The sequence below is a fragment of the Homo sapiens genome, chromosome 15, assembly GCF_000001405.40.
Source record: "Homo sapiens chromosome 15, GRCh38.p14 Primary Assembly".
NCBI lineage: Eukaryota > Metazoa > Chordata > Mammalia > Primates > Hominidae > Homo > Homo sapiens.
Genome location: NC_000015.10, coordinates 97,257,714 through 97,283,894, shown reverse-complemented (window position 1 = coordinate 97,283,894; position 26,181 = coordinate 97,257,714). Strand labels below are relative to the sequence as shown.

The 26,181-nt window shown below is 37.1% G+C and overlaps 2 long non-coding RNA genes across 4 annotated transcripts in view; one reads left to right on the top strand and one right to left on the bottom strand.

The window, feature by feature from the left end:
* The window catches only part of LOC105371006 (uncharacterized), a 47,150-nt gene extending 35,427 nt beyond the window's left edge, over nucleotides 1–11,723 (top strand). The window contains exon 4 of the long non-coding RNA NR_188334.1: nucleotides 11,371–11,723. This is a non-coding gene — a long non-coding RNA (uncharacterized LOC105371006). The remainder of the gene's footprint in view (nucleotides 1–11,370) is intronic.
* LINC02253 (long intergenic non-protein coding RNA 2253) overlaps nucleotides 1–26,181 on the bottom strand; it is a 197,799-nt gene that overhangs the window by 148,196 nt on the left and 23,422 nt on the right. The window lies entirely within an intron of this gene.

The following is a 26,181-nucleotide window of genomic DNA, read 5'->3' as shown; positions in this document are numbered from 1 at the left end:
AAATCCAAAAGTACTCAGAAGAAATTTCATAATCATTAAAGTGTGCAATTCTAGACAAGCAAAAGAAAGTATTATTAATAAGCATTTGCTTCAGAGGGTGAGAAAATATAATAAAGTAAACAAAGGGAAAGTATCAGGAAAATTTGGTATTCATACGTGTAGAAATTAATTAGAAGAGATGGGTAATTCCAAGGACTAATCTTTAAACTAATCAATAAAAGACAAATCATTGTCTACTTCTATGAAATGTGGGTCTTTATAAATAAGCAACAGAAACTAATGCTGATTATTTTAAGCAGATAGAGAAAGGAAACATTTTTAAAGGGCACTGACTAGTTACAAAATTAAAGTTAAGCAAATATGACTTAGGGAGAATAGGAGAGAAGACAACAAGAGTAATCTCAATACAGAAATTGAAGAGAGCTGCCAGGGCTCTGGCTTGGTGTTAGCCACCTCCTGAACACTGCACAAGGTTCACGTTTCTGCAAGAGTCTAATTGGCCTAGGTTGGGTAAGATGCTTACCCACACATGTGTCTCTGCCAGGTAAGATAATTTTCTATGATCGACTCAGTCCAGTTTAAATGCCTACTACTCTGATTAGGATGCATGCATGAGCACTTTTATCTTCAATATCAGCAGGCCCACAATGGAAAGGAAGAGCATATGTTTTGAAGAGAGAATGAGATTCTGTCACCAGGAGTAAAAATACTACACAAGGAAAAGTGATATATGCTTTTAAAATTCTATTCCCTTAGGTGCCTAGTATTAATATTAGCCCTCATAGAGTTAATTTTTGAGCACTTTTATGTCACAGAAACCCTGAGAACATATGCTCACATGCACAAACTCTTTGTATCACTCACAATTGGTTAAAGTTATATCGTAGTAATCCATAAATTAAAAACCACAGTGGCCTCAAACAACTAGGGTTATTTCTTACACACAGCACAAGTACATCACATGTTTATGTGTAGGTTAAGGTGTTTGTTCATGCCATCCTTATCAGGAAACAGGTTGATATAGCATCTACTACTCAGAACCCAGCCAATAGCCAGGGCAGAAAGAGAGAGCAGGAAACCACCAGCTGTTTAAGTTTTGCCCACAAATGACACATTTCACTTTTGCTTACATTTCTCTGGCCAAATCAAGTCACATGGCCATACCCAATCTCAAGAGGTTTGAGGATTGAAAATATGATTCTATGATATGTCTAGCACAAACACAGAGTTTTTAGGGCACTGGGACTATTCTACATGATACTATAATGGTGGATACAAGTCAATATAACTTTGTCAAAAAAAAAAAAAAAAACAACATAGAATATACACGTCCAAGAGTGAACCCGAATATAAACTATAGACCTTGGGTGATAATAACATGTAAAAAATAGGTTCATAGATTATAATGAATGTAACACTTAGGTGCAGGATGTTGATAGTGGGAGAGATTGTGCATGTGTGAGAGAAGATATATGGAAACCCTCTGTACTTTCTCCTCAGTTTGTAAACCTGAAATGGGTCTAAAAATAAAATCTATAAAGACTAAAGTCAATAAAATTGTACTGTATTTGGGATTTTTCTTAAATAAGTAGATTTTAGCTGCTCTTGTTGCAAAATGTATGTGAGATAATAGATATGTTCATCTATTTCACTATAGTAACCATTTTATTATCTATTTGTATTTCATAACATCATGTTGTAGACCTCAAATAGACATGATAAAATTTATTTTTAAAAACTAGAAAACAAAGTCTATTTAAAAACATCAGAAAATATACAGAAAATTAACAAAGACACAGTCTCAGTGAGGAACTAACAAAGATCTAACATTTATGTCAACAGAGTCCAAGAAAGAGAGGGAAGCATACAGATGAAGAATATTAGAAGCAATAATAACTTCCAAAATGTGATGAAAAACAAAAACTTACAGATTCAAGTAGCCAAGTGAATCCTAAACAGGATAAGCCTAAGAAAGTGTATGGCCAGACACATTATAACCAAATTTTATAAACCTAAAATAAGGAAAATACTTAAAAACAGCTAGAGAAAAATAACACCTTACCTGTAGGAAACAACAATTCAAACAAGGCAGATTACTCATCAGGACGCAGACCAGAAAAAAGTGGCACAAAATTTTTTCAAGTTTAATAAAAACAGGACAGTTGATACAAAATTTTAAACCTCTAAAATTATCCTTTAGAAATATGAGTAAAATAAATATGTTCACAGATTTAAAAAAATGAGGTAAATTAAAAGTATTTGTCAGCAGCAGACTTTCTCTGAGAGAATAAATTAAACCAAATTTTTCTGGCAGAAAAAAAAATAAAGGAAAATTTGGAACATCAGTAATCAAGAAAAAGCAGTGGAAAAAAGATCAATGTATATATTAAGAACGATTAAGGAAACACATGCCCATACACTTTCCACTGATCTTTCCTAATGTATACAAAGGAGTAGATATAATAAATATGACTAACTAAAAAATACAGATTATTCATCTCTTCTTTAGTGTTTTAAATTTTGTTTAAAGGTTGAAAGCAAAAAGCCATAATATTGGTGGTTTTATAAAATGTATATAAAAGTAACATTTAAGATGTTTATATTGTAAAGGGATGTGGGGAAAAGAAACTAAAGCTTTCTATATTACACATGAAGGGGTGAAATGTTTCTAAAAACAGACAGACATTTTAAGTATGGATTTTGTAATCCTAGAGCATATAGACACAAAGCAAAGTACAGAAAAATCAAAACAGAATACTAAAATATGTTCAAGCAACCCAGAGGTAGTCAGGAAAGAAAAAAGAGAAAAGAAAAACAGAGGTAAACAAATAAAAAACAATATCATAACAAATTTAAATTCTAGCATATCTATAATTACATTAAATGTAAATGATCATGTCACAACAATTAAAAGATAAAGACTGTCAAACTTGTTACCCAAAAAATGATCCAACTATATGCAATCTATAAGAAACTTACTTCCAATGTAAACAAAATTTTAAATGTAAAAGGATGAAGAAAGATATACCATACAGACTCTAATTATACTGAATGGGCAAAAACTGGAAACATTCCCTTTGAAAACCTGCACAAGACAAGGGTGCCATCTCTCATCACACCTATTCAATATAGTATTGGAAGTTCTGGCCAGGGCAATCAAGCAAGGGAAAGAAATAAAGGGTATTCAAATAAGAAAAGAGGAAGTCAAATTGTCTCTGTTTGCAGATGACATGATTGTATATTTAGAAAACCCCATTGTCTCAGTCCAAAACTCCTTAAGCTGATAAGCAATTTCAGCAAAGTCTCAGGATACAAAATCAATGTGCAAAAATCACATGCATTTCTATACACCAATGATAGACAAACAGAGAGCCAAATCATGAGTGGACTCCCATTCGCAATTGCTACAAAGAGAATAAAATACCTAGGAATACAGCTTACAAGGGATGTGCAGCACCTCTTCAAGGAGAACTACAAACCACTGCTCAAGGAAATAAGAGAGGACACAAACAAATGGGAAAACATTCCATGCTTATGGATAGGAAGAATCAATATCATCAAAATGGCCATACTGCCCCAAGTAATTTATAGATGCAATGCTATCCCCATCAAGCTATCATTGACTTTCTTCACAGAATTAGAACAAACTACTTTAAATTCCATATGGAACCAAAAAAGAGCCCACAAAGCCAAGACAATCCTAAGCAAAAAGAACAAAGCGGAAGGCATCACGGTACCTGTCTTCAAAAAATACTACAAGGCTACAGTAACCAAAGCAGCATGGTACTGGTACCAAAATAAATATATAGACCAATTGAACAAAACAGAGACCTCAGAAATAACACCACACATCTACAACCACCTGATCTTTGACAAACCTGACAAAAAGAAGCAATGGGGAAAGGATTCCCTATTTAACAAATGGTGTTGGGAAAACTGGCTAGCCATATGCAGAAAACTGAAACTGAACCTCTTCCTTACACCTTATGCAAAAATTAACTCAAAATGGATTAAAGACTTAAATGTAAGACCTAAAGCCATAAAAACCCTGGAAGAAAACCTTGGCAATATTCATCAGGACATAGGCATAGGCAAAGACTTTATGACTAAAACACAAAAAGCAATGGCAACAAAAGCCAAAATTGACAAATGGGATCTAATTAAACTAAAGAGTTTCTGCACAGCAAAAGAAGCTATCATCAGAGTGAATAGGCAACTTACAGAATGGGAGAAAATTTTTGCAATCTACCCATCTGGCAAGGAGCTAATATCCAGAATCTACAAAGAACTTAAACAAATTTCAAGAAAAAAACACACAACCCCATCAAAAAGTGGGCAAAGGATATGAACAGACACTTCTCAAAAGAAGATACTTACGCAGCCAACAAACATATGGAAAAAAGCTCATTATCACTAGTCATTAGAGAAATGCAAATCAAAACCACAATGATATACCATCTCACGCCAGTTAGAATGTAATCATCAAAAAGTCAGGAAACAACAGATGCTGGAGAGGATATGGAGAAATAGGAACACTTTTACACTGTTGGTGGGAGTATAAATTAGTTCAACCATTGTGGAAGACAGTGTGGAGATTCCTCAAGGATCTAGAACCAGAAATACCATTTGACCCAGCAATCTCATTACTGGGTATATACCCAAAGCATCATAAATCATTCTATTATAAGGACACATGCACACGTATGTTTATTGCAGCACTATTCACAATAGCAAAGACTTGGAACCAACACAAATGCCCATCATTGATAGACTGGATAAACAAAATGTGGTACATATACACCATGAAATACTATGCACTCATTTAAAAGGATGAGTTCATGTCCTTTGCAGGCACATGGATGAAGCTGGAAACCATCATTCTCAGCAAACTAATGCAAGAACAGAAAACCAAACACCGCATGTTCTCACTCATAAGTGGGAGCTGAACAGTGAGAACACATGGACACAGGGAGGGGGAACATTACACACTGGGGCCTATCAGGGGGTGGGGGGCGGGTAGGGGAGGGATAGCATTCGGAGAAATACCTAATGTAGATGACGGGTTCATGGGTGCAGCAAACCATCATGGCACATGTATACCTATGTAACAAACCTGCATGTTCTGCACCTGTACCCCAGAACTTAAAAGTATAATGATAATTTAAAAAAACCTGGAATTACAATATTAATATCAGGAAGAATACACTTTATATCTAAGAAAACTAGGAACAAAGAACATTATTACTTAAAGATAAAATGGCCAATTCATCATGCAGACATAATAGTCCTTAATATATAATCAGGAGTGTTTCCATGTACATGAAGCAAGAAGTAACATAACTGAAGGAAATAATAGACAAGTCCACTAGACAGAAAATTAGTAAGGATATAGAGAAACTGAATAGCACTATCGTTCAGTAAAATCTACCTGTATTTTTAGAACACTGCATCTAACAACAGATAAATACAAGGTATTTTTAATTTTATATGAAATATTTATCAAGATAACCCATATGAAGCCCATCAAAAGTAATACTAAAAAGAACTAAACTTATACCAAGTAGCAAAGTATTTTCTCTGACCATAATAGAATAAACTAGAAAACAATTGTAACAAAGTAAATGAGACAATCTCCATTCATTTCATAACTGAACAACACCTGTAACAATAACTCACAGGCAAAAGAGAAACAGCAGTAAAATTAGAAAATATATAATATTAAATATTTAAATGGAATCAAATTACATAGAACTACACACACCAACACCCAAGTGAATGCAGTAAATATTTATGAAATTAGAATAAAGTCTGTAATATAATTGACAATGTCGTGCTGCTATAATTTTCTGTATTGATATTGTACAAGAAAAATATTTTGTAAATTTTACCATTAGGTGAAAATGGAGAAAGGATTCAGTGATCTCTAAGTATTATTTTTGCAATTAACACTAAGCCATATTATATACATATATATATATTATATAGATGTGTGACAAAAATTAAAAGATTTACATATTAAAATCCATGGGCTGCAGTGAAAGCAGGGCTGTGAGGGAAATTGATAGAATAAACTGTTTATGTTAGAACCGAAGAAAAGTCTAAAACCAATAATAGGAGCTTCCACTTCAAGAAACTAAAAAAAGGTAGATATACATGTCAAGTAAATAGAATTAAAAAATTAGATTGTATTAGAAATCAATAAAATTCAAAATAGAAAAATAATAGAGAAAATAAATTAAACAAAAAGCTGATAACTCAAAATATCAGTAAAATAATTAATTTCTGGCAAGTATGACTAAGAAAAAGAGAAGGAATACACATATGACAAATATCTGGAAGGAAATATCGGATATCATCACAGAACCTAAGACATTAACAGGGTAAGAGATTATGGTAACAATTCCATGCATATGAATGAGAAAACTTATATGACATGGATAGATTCCTGAAAAACCATAAATTATTATAATTCAACCAACATGAAATACTCCTATGACTAATAAAGTAATTGAATTTATCAACAACCTTCCAAATAAGAAATCTTCTGGCCCAGATGATTTCACTTGTAAATGTCACCAAATATTTAAAGGAGAGAAAACATTAATTCTACACAGTATTGTCAAAGAATAATAGAATATAAATCTCAACTCATTTTATAGGGCCAGCATTACCTTGATACTTAAGCCAGAAAAAGACAGTACAAGAAAGAAAGAAAGAAAAGTAAAAAATATGTGTCTTTATATAGAATGATTTATATTCCTTTGTATATATACCCAGTAATGGGATTGCTGGGTTGGATGATATTTCTGTCCTTAGGTCTTTGAGGAATTGCCACATTGTCTTCCACAATGGCTGAACTAATTTATAGTCCCACCCACAGTGTAAAAGCACTCCTTTTCCTCCACAATCCACCAACATCTGTTGTTTTTTGACTTTTTAATAGTAGCCATTCTGACTGGTGTTAGATGGTATTTCACTGTGGTTTTGATTTGCATTTCTCTAATGATCAGTTATGCTGAACTTTTTTCATACGATTGTTGGTACTATGCAGCCATAAAAAAAAATGAGTTCATGTCCTTTGCAGGGACATGGATGGAGCTGGAGGCCATTATCCTTAACAAACTAATAAAGGAACAGAAAACCAAATACTGCATGTTCTCACTTATAGATAAGAGCTAAAATATGAGAACACATAAATACGTAGAAGAGAACAATACATACTTGGGCCTTTTGGAGGGTGGAGGGTGAGAGAAGGGAAAGGATCAGGAAAAATAACTAATCAGTACTAGGCTTAATACCTGAGTGATGAAATAATCTGTACAACACACCTCCAGGACACAAGTTTACCTGTGTAACAAACCTGCACTTGTACCCCTGAATTTAAAATAAAGGTTTTTAAAAGAAGAAAAAAATCAAAAAGGAAATCATAAACCAATATCCCACGTGAATGTAGATACAAAATTTTCAACAAAATATAAGCAAATTAAATCCAACAACACATAAAAAGAATAATGCATGACAACCAAGAGTTTTTTTGTGTTGTGCACAGTGTCAAGAGTTGTTTATTTCAGAAATGCAAGGCTGGTTTATTATTTGAAAAATCAATCAAGTATACAACCCTACGAAGAGTTTAAAGAAGAAAAATCATAATCATCTCGATGCAGACAAAAGACTGAACTAACAACCATACATGACAAAAAGTCTCACATAGTATGAATAGAGAACTTCTTCAACTTCATAAAGAGGATCTTGAAAACCAATAGTTAATATTTCACTTGACAGTGAAAAATTGAGTGCATTCCCCCAGACATCAGAAACAGAGCAAAGATGTTCATCCTCACCACTCCTATTCAACATTGTACTGAGAACCCAAGCAAGGGCAATAAGGCAAGGAAAGACAGGCAGACCCATGCAGATTAAATTGGAAGAGATCAAACTGTCTTTACTTGAAGAAGACATTATTTTTTTCTATATAGAAAGTCATAAGGAATCTAATGAAAAAATAACTCCTAGAACTAGTAAGTTCAGCAAGGTCACAGGATATGACATCAACATACAAAAATCAGTTTTATTTCTGTATATTACCAATGAACATAAAAACACAAAAATAAAAAACATACATTTTACAATAGCTCCAAAAATAATAAAATCCATCTATGTATATCTGTCAAATTATTTACAGCCACGGTATGCTGAAAACTACAAATGCTAATGAAATGAAACAAAGGATAACTAAATAAATTGACATACTGTAGTCATGATTTTGAAGACTCCATATAGTAAAATGTCAATTCACCCTAAATTTGTCTGTTGATTTAACACAATTCATATCTACATTTCAGCATGAGTTTTTTCTGTACTGTGAAGCTGAATCTAAAATATACACATAAGACAAAGGAAGTAAAATAGATACAAAAAAATTGAAAAAAGACTACCTATATTTAAAACATTCTGTATATCTACAGCAATCAAGAGAGACAGTGGCATTAGGAAGGAGAGACACATAGATCAAGGGAAAAGAATAGAGAGCTATAAATAGACCCCATATAATCACAGCCTTCTGATTTTATACAAAGTTGCAAAAACAATTTAATGTAAAAAGGATAGTTTTTTCAACGTATGTTGTTAGAGAACATGGATATCAGTTGGTGAAAATGTTAGCCTCAACCTAGACTTCATATTCTCTACAATGATTAATTCAAAATGTACCATAGATCTAAGTTTAAATATAAAACTCTAAGACTTTTAGAAGAAAACATTACAGAAAATCTACCACAAAGGGGCTAGTGACAGATTCTTGGACATGACACCAAAACCAGAATCCTTAAACATAAAAAATCATTAAATGGGACTGCATCAAAATTAAGCACTTTTGTTATGTAAAAGTCATTCTTAAGAGAACAAGAAGATAAGCCACATATTGGGAGATAATATTTGCAATAACCAGCAAATGACTTATTTCCAGAATAAGCAACTCTCTGAACTCAGTAGTAAGAAAACAATCAAATTAGAAATCAGGCAAAAGATTTAAAAAGATATTTCATGGAAGATAAAAGGATGGCAATTAATTACATGACTAGATCTCAATATTATTAGTCATTAGGGAAGTGCAAAGTAAAGCCATGAGGAGATACTACTGCTCACATATTAGACTGGCTAGAATAACATACTGGTAACATTGTACCACATGCTGGAGAGAAGGCAGAGAAAATGCATCTCTCATACATTGCCAAGTGGGAAGGTTAAATGGCATAGCCACTGTGGAAAACTGCTTAGTAGTTTTCTTATAAAATTAAATGTACACTTCCCATATGGCCCAGCAATTGCCTGGGTATTCACTGGAGAAATGAAAACTTATGTTCACACAAGAATCCGCACATCAATATTCTTAGCAGCTTTATTTTGTAATATACCCAAACTGGAAACAACTGAAATATCTTCCCCAAGGCAGAGTTGGCTGAATAATGACCCCAGAGGATATTAGATACTAAACTCTGGAATCTGTAAATGTCACCTTATGTGGAAAAAAAAGGGTTTGTGTGTACATGTGATTAAATTAAGAATCTTGAGCTGGAAGATTATCCTGGATTACCCAGGTGGATCTTAAAGGAGATCACACTTCATGATAACGAGGAGCTAGAGGTAGATTGGACAGATAGACATAAGAGGAGAGGGTGATGTGAAGTCAAAGGCAGAAATTGGATTGATGTATCCACAAGTTAACAAATGCCAGCAGCCTCCAGAAGTGGGAAGAAGCAAGAGATAGATTCTCCACCAGAATATCCAGAGGGATCACGGCACCATATCTCGGCCAACACCTTGACTTCTGCCCACTGGTACTGATTTTGGACTGCTGGCAGCTAGAACTGTGAGAGAATGCATTTCTGCAGTTTTAAATCATAAAATTTGTGCTAATTTCTTATAGCAGCCACAGGTAACTAATACACTGGATGAATAAATAAACTGTGGCACATCTATTCAATGGAATATTATTCAGCAATCAAAAGGAACAAACAATCGAAATGCGCAATACATTGGATAAATCTCAATGACATTATGCCTAGTGAAACAAGCCATTCTCAAAAGATCATATACTGTATTACTCCATTTTAAAAACTTTCTGTAAATGGCCAAACTGTGATGATGGAAAACACAACCATTGTTGTCAACAGAGTTGTGTGAAATGTGTGATATAAAATTGTAGTGTGAGGGAATTTTTGAGGGATGATATTATAACAGTTCCATACCCTAATTTTAGTGGTGGTTACACAAATCTACACATTTGAGAAAATTTCATGGAAGTGTTCACCAAGAAAATGGCAGGAAAACTGCCAAAATTATTTAGTCAATTTTTGGTTTTGATAGTTATTCTCTTTTGTGAGATGTTATCACTGAAGGAAGCTGAGTGAAGGGTACTTGGAATTTCTGTATACTATTTTTGAAGCTTCAATGTCAGTCTAAAATTATTTCAAAATAAAAAATTAAAATACAAACTAGCAATTATAGCTAATGTTTATGAAGGTTTTCGATATACAGGTATTATTAAGTCTACAAGTTTATTTAATCTTTATAACATAAAGAGATAAGATAGTGTGTGCCTCTAGTCCTAGCTACATGGGAAGCTGAAGTGGGAGGATCAGTTGAGATCAGGAGTTTAAGGCTGCAATGAACTATGATCATGTCACTGCACTTCAGCCTGGGCAACAGAGTGAGATACTGTCTTTAAAAAAAATTAAAAATTAAAAATAACTATAGTTTTGCCCATTTTCAGAAATGGGATCACAGAGAATTTACATAACTTTCTCACAGTTAAAATGCTGGGAAGTGTTAGAAGCAGATATGAAACAAAGACAGTCTGACTTCAGAGCCCATCCTCATAACCCCTATTCTCACTGTGCTAGGATAGTCATTGTGGCCAAACTGGTAACAGCAAAATCAACAACAGCAAATGGAAGCAATCTGCATATCCATCAATGAGAGACCCATGAATTATCAAACATATGATACAAAATATACTGGTTAAAAAACAAAAAAGGTGGTAAGATATGAAAATAATTCCAAGACTTATATAGTGAAAAAAGTGAGATACATAATAGTCTGTATAATGGGGCAATAATTCGTATGGAAGAAAATACAGCAAAGAGAAGGAAACAACAAAAAATATTTGTATATATTGATGAGCGTGTGCATGCGTGTATATGTGCAGACACATGCTGTGCTGCAACCGTGTTGTATATAAGAAATTGCTGAAGTTGGTTAACAATGGGAACTTCTTGGGAAATAGAACAGACCATGTATAGTGACAAGGGCTTATAGCAGTTGTTGCTAACTGAAACATGATGTTCATTTTCCCTTTTTCCTTTGAATTAGAGAACGCTGGGCTTTAACTGAACACATAGCTACCCAACTAAAGCATCTTTTGCAGCTAGAAATGGCCATGTGATCAAGTTTGGAGGAACTAGAGGGGTTGGCAAGTGATGAGTGTGACTTTGGACCACCTCCTTGAAGATGCAGCTGCTTCCCAGGACTTCTTTCCCACTTCCCACAGGCTGGAGAGTGGGCACCCAGGCTTTAGTCACAACCACCAAGATGACCCTGTGGGGAGGTGACAGGGAGAGAAGATGGACCTCTTGGAGAGGAGCAGCCACTTCTCCAGCTATGGACTGCTGACATAAGTACTATTTAGAGAGAGGAAAATAAACTATCCCGTGTAAGTCAGCCCATATTTGAGTGTCTTTGTATAATAGTTTAGCCTGTATTCTAATTAGTACAAATAATTATTATTGTGTCCTCTTTATTCATTCAACATATATATAAATATTAACAGAGCTTAGATTTCAGTAATATGTCGACATGAAATAAAGTAAATAAAAAATTGCAACTTGGTTATGAACTCTGAGGGGGATGAATGTGGTACAGCAGACGCCCATAACAGTTTTGAGCAGTCTTGGTGTCGGAGAATGTTGCATTGAGAAAGAAGTGGTTGGCCGGGTGCAGTGGCTCACACCTGTAATCCCAGCACTTTGGGAGGCTGAGGTGGGCGGATCACGAGGTCAGGAGTTCGAGACCAGCCTGGCCAACATGGTGAAAACCCATCTCTATAAAAATTAGCTGGGCGTGGTGATGTGTGGTTGTAATCCCAGCTACTCAGGAGGCTGAGGCAGGAGAATTGCTTGAACTCAAGAGGCAGAGATTGCAGTGAGGTGAGATTGCACCATTGCACTCCAGCCTGGGAGACAGAGTGAGGCTCTGTCTCAAAAAAATAAGTGAATAAATAAACAGGTGGGCCAGGGGGAGGAGCCAAGATGGCCGAATAGGAACAGCTCCAGTCTACAGCTCCCAGCGTGAGCGATGCAGGAGACGGGTGATTTCTGCATTTCCATCTGAGGTACCGGGTTCATCTCACTAGGGAGTGCCAGACAGTGGGCGCAGGACAGTGGGTGCGCGCACCGTGCGCGAGCCGAAGCAGGGCGAGGCATTGCCTCACCTGGGAAGCGCAAGGGGTCAGGGAGTTCCCCTTCCGAGTCAAAGAAAGGGGTGACGGACACACCTGGAAAATCGGGTCACTCCTACCCGAATATTGCGCTTTTCAGACCGGCTTAAAAAAACGGCGCACCAGGAGACTATATCCCACACCTGGCTCAGAGGGTCCGACGCCCACGGAGTCTCGCTGATTGCTAGCACAGCAGTCTGAGATCAAACTGCAAGGCGGCAGCGAGGCTGGCAGAGGGGCGCCCGCCATTGCCCAGGCTTGCTTAGGTAAACAAAGCAGCCTGGAAGCTCGAACTGGGTGGAGCCCACCACAGCTCAAGGAGGCCTGCCTGCCTCTGTAGGCTCCACCTCTGGGGGCAGGGCACAGACAAACAAAAAGACAGCAGTAACCTCTGCAGACTTAAATGTCCCTGTCTGACAGCTTTGAAGAGAGCAGTGGTTCTCCCGGCACGCAGCTGGAGATCTGAGAAGGGGCAGACTGCCTCCTCAAGTGGGTCCCTGACCCCTGACCCCCGAGCAGCCTAACTGGGAGGCACCCCCAGCAGGGGCACACTGACACCTCACACTGCAGGGTATTCCAACAGACCTGCAGCTGAGGGTCCTGTCTGTTAGAAGGAAAACTAACAAACAGAAAGGACATCCACACCGAAAACCCATCTGTACATCACCATCATCAAAGACCAAAAGTAGATAAAACCACAAAGATGGGGAAAAAACAGAACAGAAAAACTGGAAACTCTAAAAAGCAGAGCACCTCTCCTCCTCCAAAGGAATGCAGTTCCTCACCAGCAACGGAACAAAGCTGGATGGAGAATGATTTTGACGAGCTGAGAGAAGAAGGCTTCAGACGATCAAATTACTCTGAGCTACGGGAGGACATTCAAACCAAAGGCAAAGAAGTTGAAAACTTTGAAAAAAATTTAGAAGAATGTATAACTAGAATAACCAATACAGAGAAATGCTTAAAGGAGCTGATGGAGCTGAAAACCAAGGCTCGAGAACTACGTGAAGAATGCAGAAGCCTCAGGAGCTGATGCGATCAACTGGAAGAAAGGGTATCAGCAATGGAAGATGAAAGGAATGAAATGAAGCAAGAAGGGAAGTTTAGAGAAAAAAGAATAAAAAGAAATGAGCAAAGCCTCCAAGAAATATGGGACTATGTGAAAAGACCAAATCTACGTCTGATTGGTGTACCTGAAAGTGATGCGGAGAATGGAACCAAGTTGGAAAACACTCTGCAGGATATTATACAGGAGAACTTCCCCAATCTAGCAAGGCAGGCCAACGTTCAGATTCAGGAAATACAGAGAATGCCACAAAGATACTCCTTGAGAAGAGCAACTCCAAGACACATAATTGTCAGATTCACCAAAGTTGAAATGAAGGAAAAAATGTTAAGGGCAGCCAGAGAGAAAGGTCAGGTTACCCTCAAAGGGAAGCCCATCAGACTAACAGCAGATCTCTCAGCAGAAACCCAGAAGCCAGAAGAGAGTGGGGGCCAATATTCAACATTCTTAAAGAAAAGAATTTTCAACCCAGAATTTCATATCCAGCCAAACTAAGCTTCATAAGTGAAGGAGAAATAAAATGCTTTACAGACAAGCAAATGCTGAGAGATTTTCTCACCACCAGGCCTGCCCTAAAAATGCTCCTGAAGGAAGCGCTAAACATGGAAAGGAACAACCGGTACCAGCCGCTGCAAAATCATGCCAAAATGTAAAGACCATCGAGACTAGGAAGAAACTGCATCAACTAACAAGCAAAATCACCAGCTAACATCATAATGACAGGATCAAATTCACACATAACAATATTAACTTTAAATGTAAATGGACTAAATTCTCCAATTAAAAGACACAGACTGGCAAGTTGGATAAAGAGTCAAGACCCATCAGTGTGCTGTATTCAGGAAACCCATCTCACATGCAGAGACACACATAGGCTCAAAATAAAAGGATGGAGGAAGATCTACCAAGCAAATGGAAAACAAAAAAAGGCAGGGGTTACAATCCTAGTCTCTGATAAAACAGACTTTAAACCAACAAAGATCAAAAGAGACAAAGAAGGCCATTACATAATGGTAAAGGGTTCAATTCAACAAGAGGCGCTAACTATCCTAAATATATATGCACCCAATACAGGAGCACCCAGATTCATAAAGCAAGTCCTGAGTGACCTACAAAGAGACTTAGACTCCCACACATTAATAATGGGAGACTTTAACACCCCACTGTCAACATTAGACAGATCAACGAGACAGAAAGTCAACAAGGATACCCAGGAATTGAACTCAGCTCTGCACCAAGTGACCTAATAGACATCTACAGAACTCTCCACCCCAAATCAACAGAATATACATTTTTTTCAGCACCACACCACACCTATTCCAAAATTGACCACACAGTTGGAAGTAAAACTCTCCTCAGCAAATGTAAAAGAACAGAAATTATAACAAACTACCTCTCAGACCACAGTGCAATCAAACTAGAACTCAGGATTAGTAATCTCACTCAAAGCCGCTCAACTACATGGAAACTGAACAACCTGCTCCTGAATGACTACTGGGTACATAACGAAATGAAGGCAGAAATAAAGATGTTCTTTGAAACCAACGAGAACAAAGACACAACATACCAGAATCTCTGGGACACATTCAAAGCAGTGTGTAGAGGGAAATTTATAGCACTAAATGCCCACAAGCGAAAGCAGGAAAGATCCAAAATGGACACCCTAACATCACAATTAAAAGAACTAGAAAAGCAAGATCAAACACATTCAAAAGCTAGCAGAAGGCAAGAAATAACTAAAATCAGAGCAGAACTGAAGGAAATAGAGACACAAAAAACCCTTCAAAAAATCAATGAATCCAGGAGCTGGTTTTTGAAAGGATCAACAAAATTGATAGACCGCTAGCAAGACTAATAAAGAAAAAAAGAGAGAAGAATCAAATAGACACAATAAAAAATGATAAAGGGGATATCACCACCAATCCCACAGAAATATAAACTACCATCAGAGAATACTACAAACACCTCTACACAAATAAACTAGAAAATCTAGAAGAAATGGATACATTCCTCGACACATACACTCTCCCAAGACTAAACCAGGAAGATGCTGAATCTCTGAATAGACCAATAACAGACTCTGAAATTGTGGCAATAATCAATAGTTTACCAACCAAAAAGAGTCCAGGACCAGATGGATTCACAGCCAAATTCTACCAGAGGTACAAGGAGGAACTGGTACCATTCCTTCTGAAACTACTCCAATCAATAGAAAAAGAGGGAATCCTCCCTAACTAATTTTATGAGGCCAGCATCATTCTGATACCAAAGCCGGGCAGAGACACAACCAAAAAAGAGAATTTTAGACCAATATCCTTGATGAACATTGATGCAAAAATCCTCAATAAAATACTGGCAAACCAAATCCAGCAGCACATCAAAAAGCTTATCCACCATGATCAAGTGGGCTTCATCCCTGGGATGCAAGGCTGGTTCAATATACGCAAATCAATAAATGTAATCCAGCATATAAACAGAGCCAAAGACAAAAACCACATGATTATCTCAATAGATGCAGAAAAAGCCTTTGACAAAATTCAACAACCCTTCATGCTAAAAACTCTCAATAAATTAGGTACTGATGGGACGTATTTCAAAATAATAAGAGCTATCTATGACAAACCCACAGCCAATATCATACTGAATGGGCAAAAACTGGAAGCATTCCCTTTGAAAACTGGCACAAGACAGGGATGCCCTCTCTCACCACTCCTATTCAACATAGTGTTGGAAGTTCTGGCCAGGGCAATCAGGCAGGAAAAGGAAATAAAAGGTATTCAATTAGGAAAAGAGGAAGTCAAATTGTCCCTGTTTGCAGATGACATGATTGTATATCTAGAAAACCCCATCATCTCAGCCCAAAATCTCCTTAAGCTGATAAGCAACTTCAGCAAAGTCTCAGGATACAAAATCAATGTACAAAAATCACAAGCATTCTTATACACCAACAACAGACAAACAGAGAGCCAAATCATGAGTGAACTCCCATTCACAATTGCTTCAAAGAGAATAAAATACCTAGGAATCCAACTTACAAGGGATGTGAAGGACCTCTTCAAGGAGAACTACAAACCACTGCTCAACGAAATAAAAGAGGACACAAATAAATGGAAGAACACTCCATGCTCATGGGTAGGAAGAATCAATATCGTGAAAATGGCCATACTGCCCAAGGTAATTTACAGATTCAATGCCATCCCCATCAAGCTACCAATGACTTTCTTCACAGAATTGGAAAAAACTACTTTAAAGTTCATATGGAACCAAAAAGGAGCCCGCATCGCCAAGTCAATCCTAAGCCAAAAGAACAAAGCTGGAGGCATCACACTACCTGACTTCAAACTATACTACAAGGCTACAGTAACCAAAACAGCATGGTACTGGTACCAAAACAGAGATATAGATCAATGGAACAGAACAGAGCCCTCAGAAATAACGCTGCATACCTACAACTATCTGATCTTTGACAAACCTGAGAAAAACAAGCAATGGGGAAAGGATTCCCTATTTAATAAATGGTGCTGGGAAAACTGGCTAGCCATATGTAGAAAGCTGAAACTGGATCCCTTCCTTACACCTTATACAAAAATCAATTCAAGATGGATTAAAGATTTAAACGTTAGACCTAAAACCATAAAAACCCTAGAAGAAAACCTAGGCATTACCATTCAGGACATAGGCGCGGGCAAGGACTTCATGTCCAAAACACCAAAAGCAATGGCAACAAAAGCCAAAATTGACAAATGGGATCTAATTAAACTAAAGAGCTTCTGCACAGCAAAAGAAACTACCATCAGAGTGAACAGGCAACCTACAACATGGGAGAAAATTTTCGCAACCTCCTCATCTGACAAAGGGCTAATATCCAGAATCTACAATGAACACAAACAAATTTACAAGAAAAAATAAACAACCCCATCAAAAAGTGGGCGAAGGACATGAACAGACACTTCTCAAAAGAAGACATTTATGCAGCCAAAAAACACATGAAAAAATGCTCATCATCACTGGCCATCAGAGAAATGCAAATCAAAACCACTATGAGATATCATCTCACACCAGTTAGAATGGCAATCATTAAAAAGTCAGGAAACAACAGGTGCTGGAGAGGATGTGGAGAAATAGGAACACTTTTACACTGCTGGTGGGACTGTAAAGTAGTTCAACCATTGTGGAAGTCAGTGTGGCGATTCCTCAGGGATCTAGAACTAGAAATACCATTTGACCCAGCCATCCCATTACTGGGTATATACCCAAATGACTATAAATCATGCTGCTATAAAGACACATGCACACGTATGTTTATTGCGGCATTATTCACAATAGCAAAGACTTGGAACCAACCCAAATGTCCAACAATGATAGACTGGATTAAGAAAATGTGGCACATATACACCATGGAATACTATGCAGCCATAAAAAATGATGAGTTCATGTCCTTTGTAGGGACGTGGATGAAACTGGAAACCATCATTCTCAGTAAACTATCGCAAGAACAAAAAACCAAACACCGCATGTTCTCACTCATAGGTGGGAATTGAACAATGAGATCACATGGACACAGGAAGGGGAATATCACACTCTGGGGACTGTTGTGGGGTGGGGGGAGGGGGGAGGGATGGCATTGGGAGATATACCTAATGCTAGATGACGAGTTAGTGGGTGCAGCACACCAGCATGGCACATGTATACATATGTAACTAACCTGCACAATGTGCACATGTACCCTAAAACTTAAAGTATAATAAAAAAAAATTAAAAAAAAAAAAATAAACAGGTGGGTGACCTGAGACTTGAGGAGTGGGAAGAAACTTCTGGGACTAAAGAAGGAGCCAGGAGTACTTCAGGCTGTGCAATATATAAAAAGGTCCCAAGAAAAGGAAAGCAGGCTTAGTAGAAGGATGGAAAGAAAGGGAGTCTCATTGGGGGAATAGTCGATATTCAAAAAGGAGAATAGTACATAGGAAAATCCATACAGAATCTTAGAAATCATGTTATGAAATTTTATCTTTACCCAAGAGAAGCTCCTGAAGTGTTTTTAAGTAATCAAATTTATATATTTAAAATATCCTGTTTGCATTGTGGAAAGTGGATTGGAACAGTGAATGCAGGTAGATAGATGAGGAGGCATTTTCATGGACTGGACAAGCATAGGTGGACTAAAGCCTCTGTGGTGGATATGTCGAACACAATATAGATTCAGAGAGGGGTCTCAACAACGAATCAGTGGGAAGTTAGGGAAGCAATAGCATTACTGGTGACTCCTAGGTATATGGCCTGGGCAACCAGTTGGGAAACACAGAAGAAGAGAAATCCCAGTGAGGGACTGATGGGAAATAAGACCAGGCATTCAGCTTTGAATATGTTAATGTTAAGGTTCCTTCGAGCCTACTTTAGTATCGACTGGACTTTTTAATACATAGCTTATGTTATATTCGTATAATTCAAACGTGAATCACAGAAACTATCTTGTCCTCTAAATGTTGCACTGCGAAAATCTTGTCTCACTGTACATTTAAATACATTGAAGGCAAAAAAATTTCAAACATCTTTAGTATCCCCAGATTATTTGATAGAGTGATATTTAAATTTGAAAAGTTGCTCTCCACATATTTGGTATTTGATTAAACATACAAGTGTAAAACACTAATAGTTGTTCTTGGATAGAGGGATGAGAATGTACCACAAAATGGAGTCTGTGATCTGTTTTTCAGCTGTCAAAGGAGCTTCCACTTAGGAAGGGGAGGATGCGGTAAGAAAAAATACTTACATAAATTAAGACAATCAACAAAGAGCAGGCAGGTGGGGCAGAGTGGAGCAGCCTGAAGGTGTGGAATAGTAGTTAGGTTCAGAATTATAAATTGGAGCACTAGTGCTGATTGGAAACCATGTGCAAGATGGACCAATTAAAGTTGGAGACATTCACAATAACCCTCAGATCCAAGTTCTTAAGAGAAGACCTGTGTCTGCTTTACCGTTTTACCCACCAAGCACAGAGTACTGGGAGTCCTTTGCACAAAACTGATGATCAGAAATGGTTTATTCTTAATTATTTAATTTATTTATTAATATTCCCTACTTAAGCATACATCAACACATATAGATATATAATGGGCATGTTGATGTTGTCAGGAGAAAAATCTTCATAGTAAATTAAGTATATTTCAAATAGTCACCAAAATGTATTTTAAATTATCGATTTACAAATCTATTGGATCTGTTATGGGTTGAATTATGTTCTCCCAAGAAGAAATGTTGAAATCCTAGCCTTCAGAATCCTCAGAATTTGATCTTATTTGAAAGTAAGTTTACAAAGGTAATGAAGTTAAAACGAGATCCTTAGGATAGGCTCTAATCCAATGGTTATTATCTTTATAAAAAGAGAAAATGTGGACACAGAAACAGACATGCATAGAAAGAAGACGATATGAAGACATACAGGGAGAAGATGGCCATGAGAGACTGGAATGATGTATCTACAAGCCAAAGAATGCCAATAATTGCTGGCAAACATTAGAATCTAGTACAATTGAGAGAAAGATTATATCCTAGAAATGCCAAAGAAAGCACAGCCCTGCTGACACTTTGGTTTTTGACTTTTAGCTTCCAGAACCAAGATAATAAACTCCTATTATTTTAAATCATCCAGTTTGTGGTGCAGTATTTTGTAATGGCAGCCCCAAGAAACTACTATCTTTCTTTCTCTTTCTTTCCTTCTCTTTCTCTTTTCTTCTTTTTTCTGTCTTTCCTTTCCTTTCCTTCCTTCCTTCTTTCCTTCCTCCCTCCCTCCCTCCCTTTCTTCTCCTTTCTTTTTCTTATCTGTTTATCTATCTGTCTGTGTGTCTATCACATTTCTTGTTCTTTATTTGAGGATATACATTAAATATCAGTTATGTTGTTTTATTTTCCAGTTTTGTCACAGAGGAATTAATGCAGGGAAACCACATATATCCTTTAAAATACATAGGAAGAAACTCACAGGCACAACATACTACTGCACCTAATTTTTAAAATGATATGAATAACGCCTTTGGAGACTTGTAGCTCTCTCTGTTTGCCTCCCTGAATTTGCAGACATAGTGGCTAAAACACTGCTTTAAACTCCATCTTTACTGACCTCCTGGATGAAGATCCCCTCTGGAATGTGAAGATCAGAAATCCCACTGTGATAATGTCACTCTTCAGCTTGTTGAAAATCACTGTAAAATGTACTTGTAGTAAGGCATTGTGACAGCAAGACACATGCCCTGGAGTGGCCCACAGCCTAAATGATAGATCCTGGAAAGCAGCCCAAGTGGAGCGTGTGAGGAGCAGAATATTTGCACTTAGATGAAGCAACTTACTGCTTGCTACAATATTCACAGTTTTTATTCTCGCAAATATAGACCCACTGCATTATCTTCCAAGTACTCACACGTTTCTATTCACAGAAAATGGTAGAAAAGTTAAAAAACAGAAACACAGAAAGTCACACATTATTGATAAACATCTTTAAAAACTACGGTGAAACAAGAGTATTTTTTCTTTAGGCAAACCCAATATACAAAAGTAAGAATTTATGAAGTAGAATTACTGAGGGTTCAAGGGAAAGGGAGATAAGTATGATGAATATTTTTATGAACACAAAGCCACAACGGACCCAAAATAGGTTAATAAGAGTCAACTCAGTCACATGAAAAAAATAATTTAGTTCATCTCATTTTGGTGTTTGTTTTGTAAAAGAGAAAGATGCAAACATTGTATCATTTCATCACCTTTTTTTGCATCGATATAGAGAACTCAATTCATTATTACAATAGACTAAAACAGTGTGAGTGTGTGTTTACATCTCTGACTTCCCCTATTTCATTGTTTTTTCCTTATCAATATCAACCCATATTTAAATTAATTGTGTGTGTGTGTGTGTGTGTGTGTGTGTGTGTGTGTGTCACTCAAACCAAAATGCTGCATGAATGTCATGATGACCAGACCAAGGATTTGGTACTAAAATCGCTCAAGACACAGCCATATACACACACACACACACACACACACACACACACGTGTATATGTGTATATATGTGTGTGTGTGTGTGTGTGTGTGTGTGTGTCACAAAAAGAATCTTCCTAAAGTCGCAAGTGCCATAAGGGATACCTACCCATGCGAATTCAGAGGAGGTATAAATTATTGTTGACAGGGAAGGAGTCAGGGAAGGCATTTGACCTGTGCCTTGAAAGACAGGTGGGGTTTGCTCACATGAAGATGAAGGAAACGGCACGGGAGGCATAAGCATAAGAGACAAAGCCTAGGACATTTACGGGAAACAGAAGGAATTCAATTTGGCTGGAGCATAGGGCATAGAAGAGCCAGGGGGTTGGGGTTAGACATTCAAATCATGATTACTACATTCAGTACCAAGAAGGTTTTGAAATTTCAGAAGCCTCAGAATGGCCTGGTCAGAACATTTTTCCAGGACAATGACTCTAATAGTATATCAGAAAGATTACAGGGGGCAGAAGGCACAGAAAAATCATGAGACTACTACTACAATGGTCATGGTGAATGGTAAAGGGATTTTGGCTTTAGCAGTGTCAGTGTGATATGGTTCCTTAACCTTTATAATCTGTGTAGGAGGAATTTACAATAGCACTTAACTAAAAGTCCTAAAAATTCTGGGAAATTGGTCATGACGAAACATGGGTAAGCTTTACAGGGTCTTACTAGCAGATATTTTCACTGTTTTCTTGATTTTCATATCCATAGGCATAAATTACATTGCAATTGCAGGAGGGCTTCATAAAGGAGGTGTTTTGTTGGTTTTGTTCATCTCTGTGTTTCCAGTCTGGTGAATAGCACTAAGTGAATCGTAGATTCAATATCTTTTGCTTGATGGGATTGCCATATTCTCAAACTTGAATAGTTAAAAACTGAAATTGTTAAGTGGTCCTTAACAATGTCAAAACAATGACCCATGAGGAGTTACTAAAATAATCTATGTAGTCTGGAGCCAATGAGGATTTAATTACTCATGCATCCCTTACTCCCACTTCTTATAGCTGTGAATGATTTCAATATATGTTTAAAGAATTAATAAACCACAATGAAATAAGATTACGATAAGTACTCAGGTCAAAATCTCTGTTATTTAAATGACTCTGTTCCTTGTCAATTCAATATTAATTTCTAATGTCCTTCTCAGGTGTGATATGCTGTAAATATATGAAACAACAACACTAATACTACTGTGTATTAAGCACTACAAATTCAGTAATAATAACTACTATTAATCAAGTGCTTGAAAAGGGACAGACCCTCCTCTGAGTATGTGATAAATATCATGTCATTTAATCCACACAATAACCCCATTGCTTATATATGTATGTATGGTTTTGTGCATATGTTTGTGTATGCATTCACACACATATATAACCATATATGTGTAAGACCATTTATGTCTGTATTAGTCCATTTTCACTCTGCTGATAAAGACATACCCAAGGCTGCGTAATTTATAAAGAAAAAGAGGTTTAATGGGCTCACAGTTCCACGTGGCTTGGGTGGCCTCAGAATCATGGTGGAAGGTGAAAGTCACATCTTACATGGCAGCAGGCAAGAGATAATGACAGCCAAGCAAAAGGAGGAACCCCTTATAAAATGATCAGATCTGGTGAGACTTATTAACCACCACGAGAACAGTATGGGGGAAATCATCCCCATGATTCAGTCATCTCCCACTGGGTCCCTCTCACAACACGTGGGAATTATGGGAGCTACAATTCAAGATGAGATCTGGTTGGGGACACAGCCAAACCATATCAATGTCTTACACATATGTGGTTATCTACATTTATATCTATACCTATATCTACATCTATGTCTATCTATCTATCCATCTATCTATACACATATGGTTATATATAGGGTTCTATTTTAAGGTGAGAAAACTGACCTTTAACGGTGACAATTAACTTTCTCAAATAAGTGGTCTGTATTAGAACTGGAACTGTTTCTCAAAATCCATCCAAGAGAAGAATCTACCATCAACTCAATTGAGCCAGTCAGAAAAGGATGCAATACATTTTGTCTGTTATCTTTGAAGAGACTTGAAGTTGTGTTATTTGGAGTACAGATCCCTCACCACCTAGCAATGCCAAAATTCTGAGGCATGTGATTCATCCTGGGAGAAGATTTCCAGGCAGTGCCAAACAAATTTAATGCTCTTTTTCATGTTAATGCGGAGACTACTACAAGGAACCGCAGTGATTCTGAGGAAGGCTGGTGAACGCACAAGCAGATTATTCAGCTGCATCTGCTCCTGATCTTCCTCTGTGAGCTGTGGAGCCTGCCCACCTCCAGGCTCTCAGTTAACCCCATCTTGCTACCTGGCTTCTGGGAGACCCCAACTCTCTCTCCATGAGGTCTCTCTCTCTCTCTTTTTTTTTTTTTTTTGACTTTTCAGTTCTCCCCTTACCTTGCTGTAAATCCACTCCAGCTAGGTGTTTGACCAGCATTCTCATGGAAGTCAGTAAATGTATGGAGCTTCCAGAAAAAGTCAGTTTAAAATATAATCCCTTTGTTAATGTATACAAAGGGCTTTGAGTCAAATAAAATTGGGAAGTGTGTAATTCAATTCTCCCTTAGAGATTTATGAGTCAGTGAGACACAAACTGAGAAATTCTCTGGTGAAGGAATCTGTTTAATTTTGTTTAAAGAGTTCTCCAAAGTCATGCAACCCTTTGTTCAGGAACACTTCGTTGCTAATCTGCGGCCAAGGACACACCTTAGAAATGCTGTTGAAGTGATGTCCAATGTGCCTCCCAGGTCCTGAGGACCATGCACCTACTGACAAAAACCACAGTGAGCTTTTGCATTTACTCATGGAGGGCTGACAATTGTTTGTTCAGAGGAGCTGATGAGATTTTTTTATCTTTTTCTAGGACTAGAAGGAAAGTTACATTAGAAAATACCAGATGAATGATTTAGATTTATGTTCAATGAAAGTTTTAGAAGAGACAGAGAACATCTTAAAGGCAGCAAAAATGGTAGGTTAAAGGTATCAGTAAAGCTCTGCCCAATTCCTAGATTCTGTGGTAGGTCCCAGCTTACTGAACCAACTTTAGTTTTATCAAGTATAAGTATTTATGCCTCCTAAATCCCTATTTATCAACGCTTTTCAAAGGATAGGAAGAGAAGATCTACTCCTCTGATCTCTTTTACACCACGTCTCCTCCTCTTTCCCCTCTTCGTTTTTTAAAAAATATGTAGTAAATTCATTTCAGGTTTTCCAATATGAAACTAGATTAGGTGTACTATCTACTATATGCAAAACTTTTATTGAAGACGTAAAAGAACCAATCATAAATCTACACTCAGCAATGAATTTCCTTAAGATTTTCATGTATTTCCTGTTAATGTTCTTTAGTTATCTCTAATTGAACAATAACTTATGTCCAAATGTATATTTTTAACTAATGATAGAAATATACATTTTATGTTATTAAAAATTCCACATAAAACTCCTAACAATGACATATTATTTAATTTTATATCTGTGCTATGGTATGCATTATTAAGTCTTTAAAGTAGGAATATAGTTGTTGCAATGTTTTGTCATTTTAAGTAATGTGTGAAACGAACACTTTTGTGTCAGAAAATGTTGCTCTCATTTTGTTTATTTATTTATTTATTATTTATTTATTTTGCTCAGGCTCCTAGACTTTGTAGGACTGTGTATAAAGAAGAGATTAAATCAAGCTATATTAAGCATCTCAGTGATTTGTAGCATATTTACTCACTAAAAGTCACAGGTCAAGGTTGATGGGCACATACAATGTAGAATTTTTCTTAATAATTAAAATGTCTTTCCTAATAAACTTCGATCCAATGAGAAGAGTGAAAAAATAACAGATGTTAGTTCAGTCTGAGCAAATGTAGTCCCATGTAAAAATTTAAAAAGAACTTTAGCCCCATAGAACCTCGGTTATTTAGGTACAATGTCCAGTGTCTTAGATTTTCTATCCTTTCCCTTGCTCCCTACAAAATTGTTGGAATCTGGCATATATGGCCTTCTGGTATTCAGAATTAGGGAAAAGTGAGATCAAATTAAGCCCTGTGGAGCCTCACTGCCCCTGCATGACTGGTCTGGCCCCCTGCTTAGCCTGGACACCATGAGGACTACTGGCCCACTTAGCTTTTCAGAACGACAAGCCTCCACCCACTAGTAGTGCTGCAGCTTCAGCCATTTGGCTCTGGACACAAAATCTCTGTGGCCTCCTCACTAGGATCCTCGGCCTCTGAGGGGCCACCTGCGAGCTTGGTGGCCTTTTCTCATGACCTTGCTGAAATATACAGACACCCCTGGATACTGCTCTGTGAGCACCAAAGACAGGCTTCAAGGAAACCAGGACCATTCTCCTAAGCTCATCTACCATTCTGTTCTTTTCTACTACCTCCTGCCAACATTTCTATATTATGTAGGAAGTGGCTATGTGTGGAGTATCCCCTTTAAAAAGTGCCATTTTTCTCTGTAGTGCTCCTATAAAAATGTGTCCTATACATATTAATACATGTTGAATTCAAAGTGCTATCCTTTCTCCTTGCACACAGTGAAGTTTTGGAGAGAAATAAGATCTTCCTATTTTT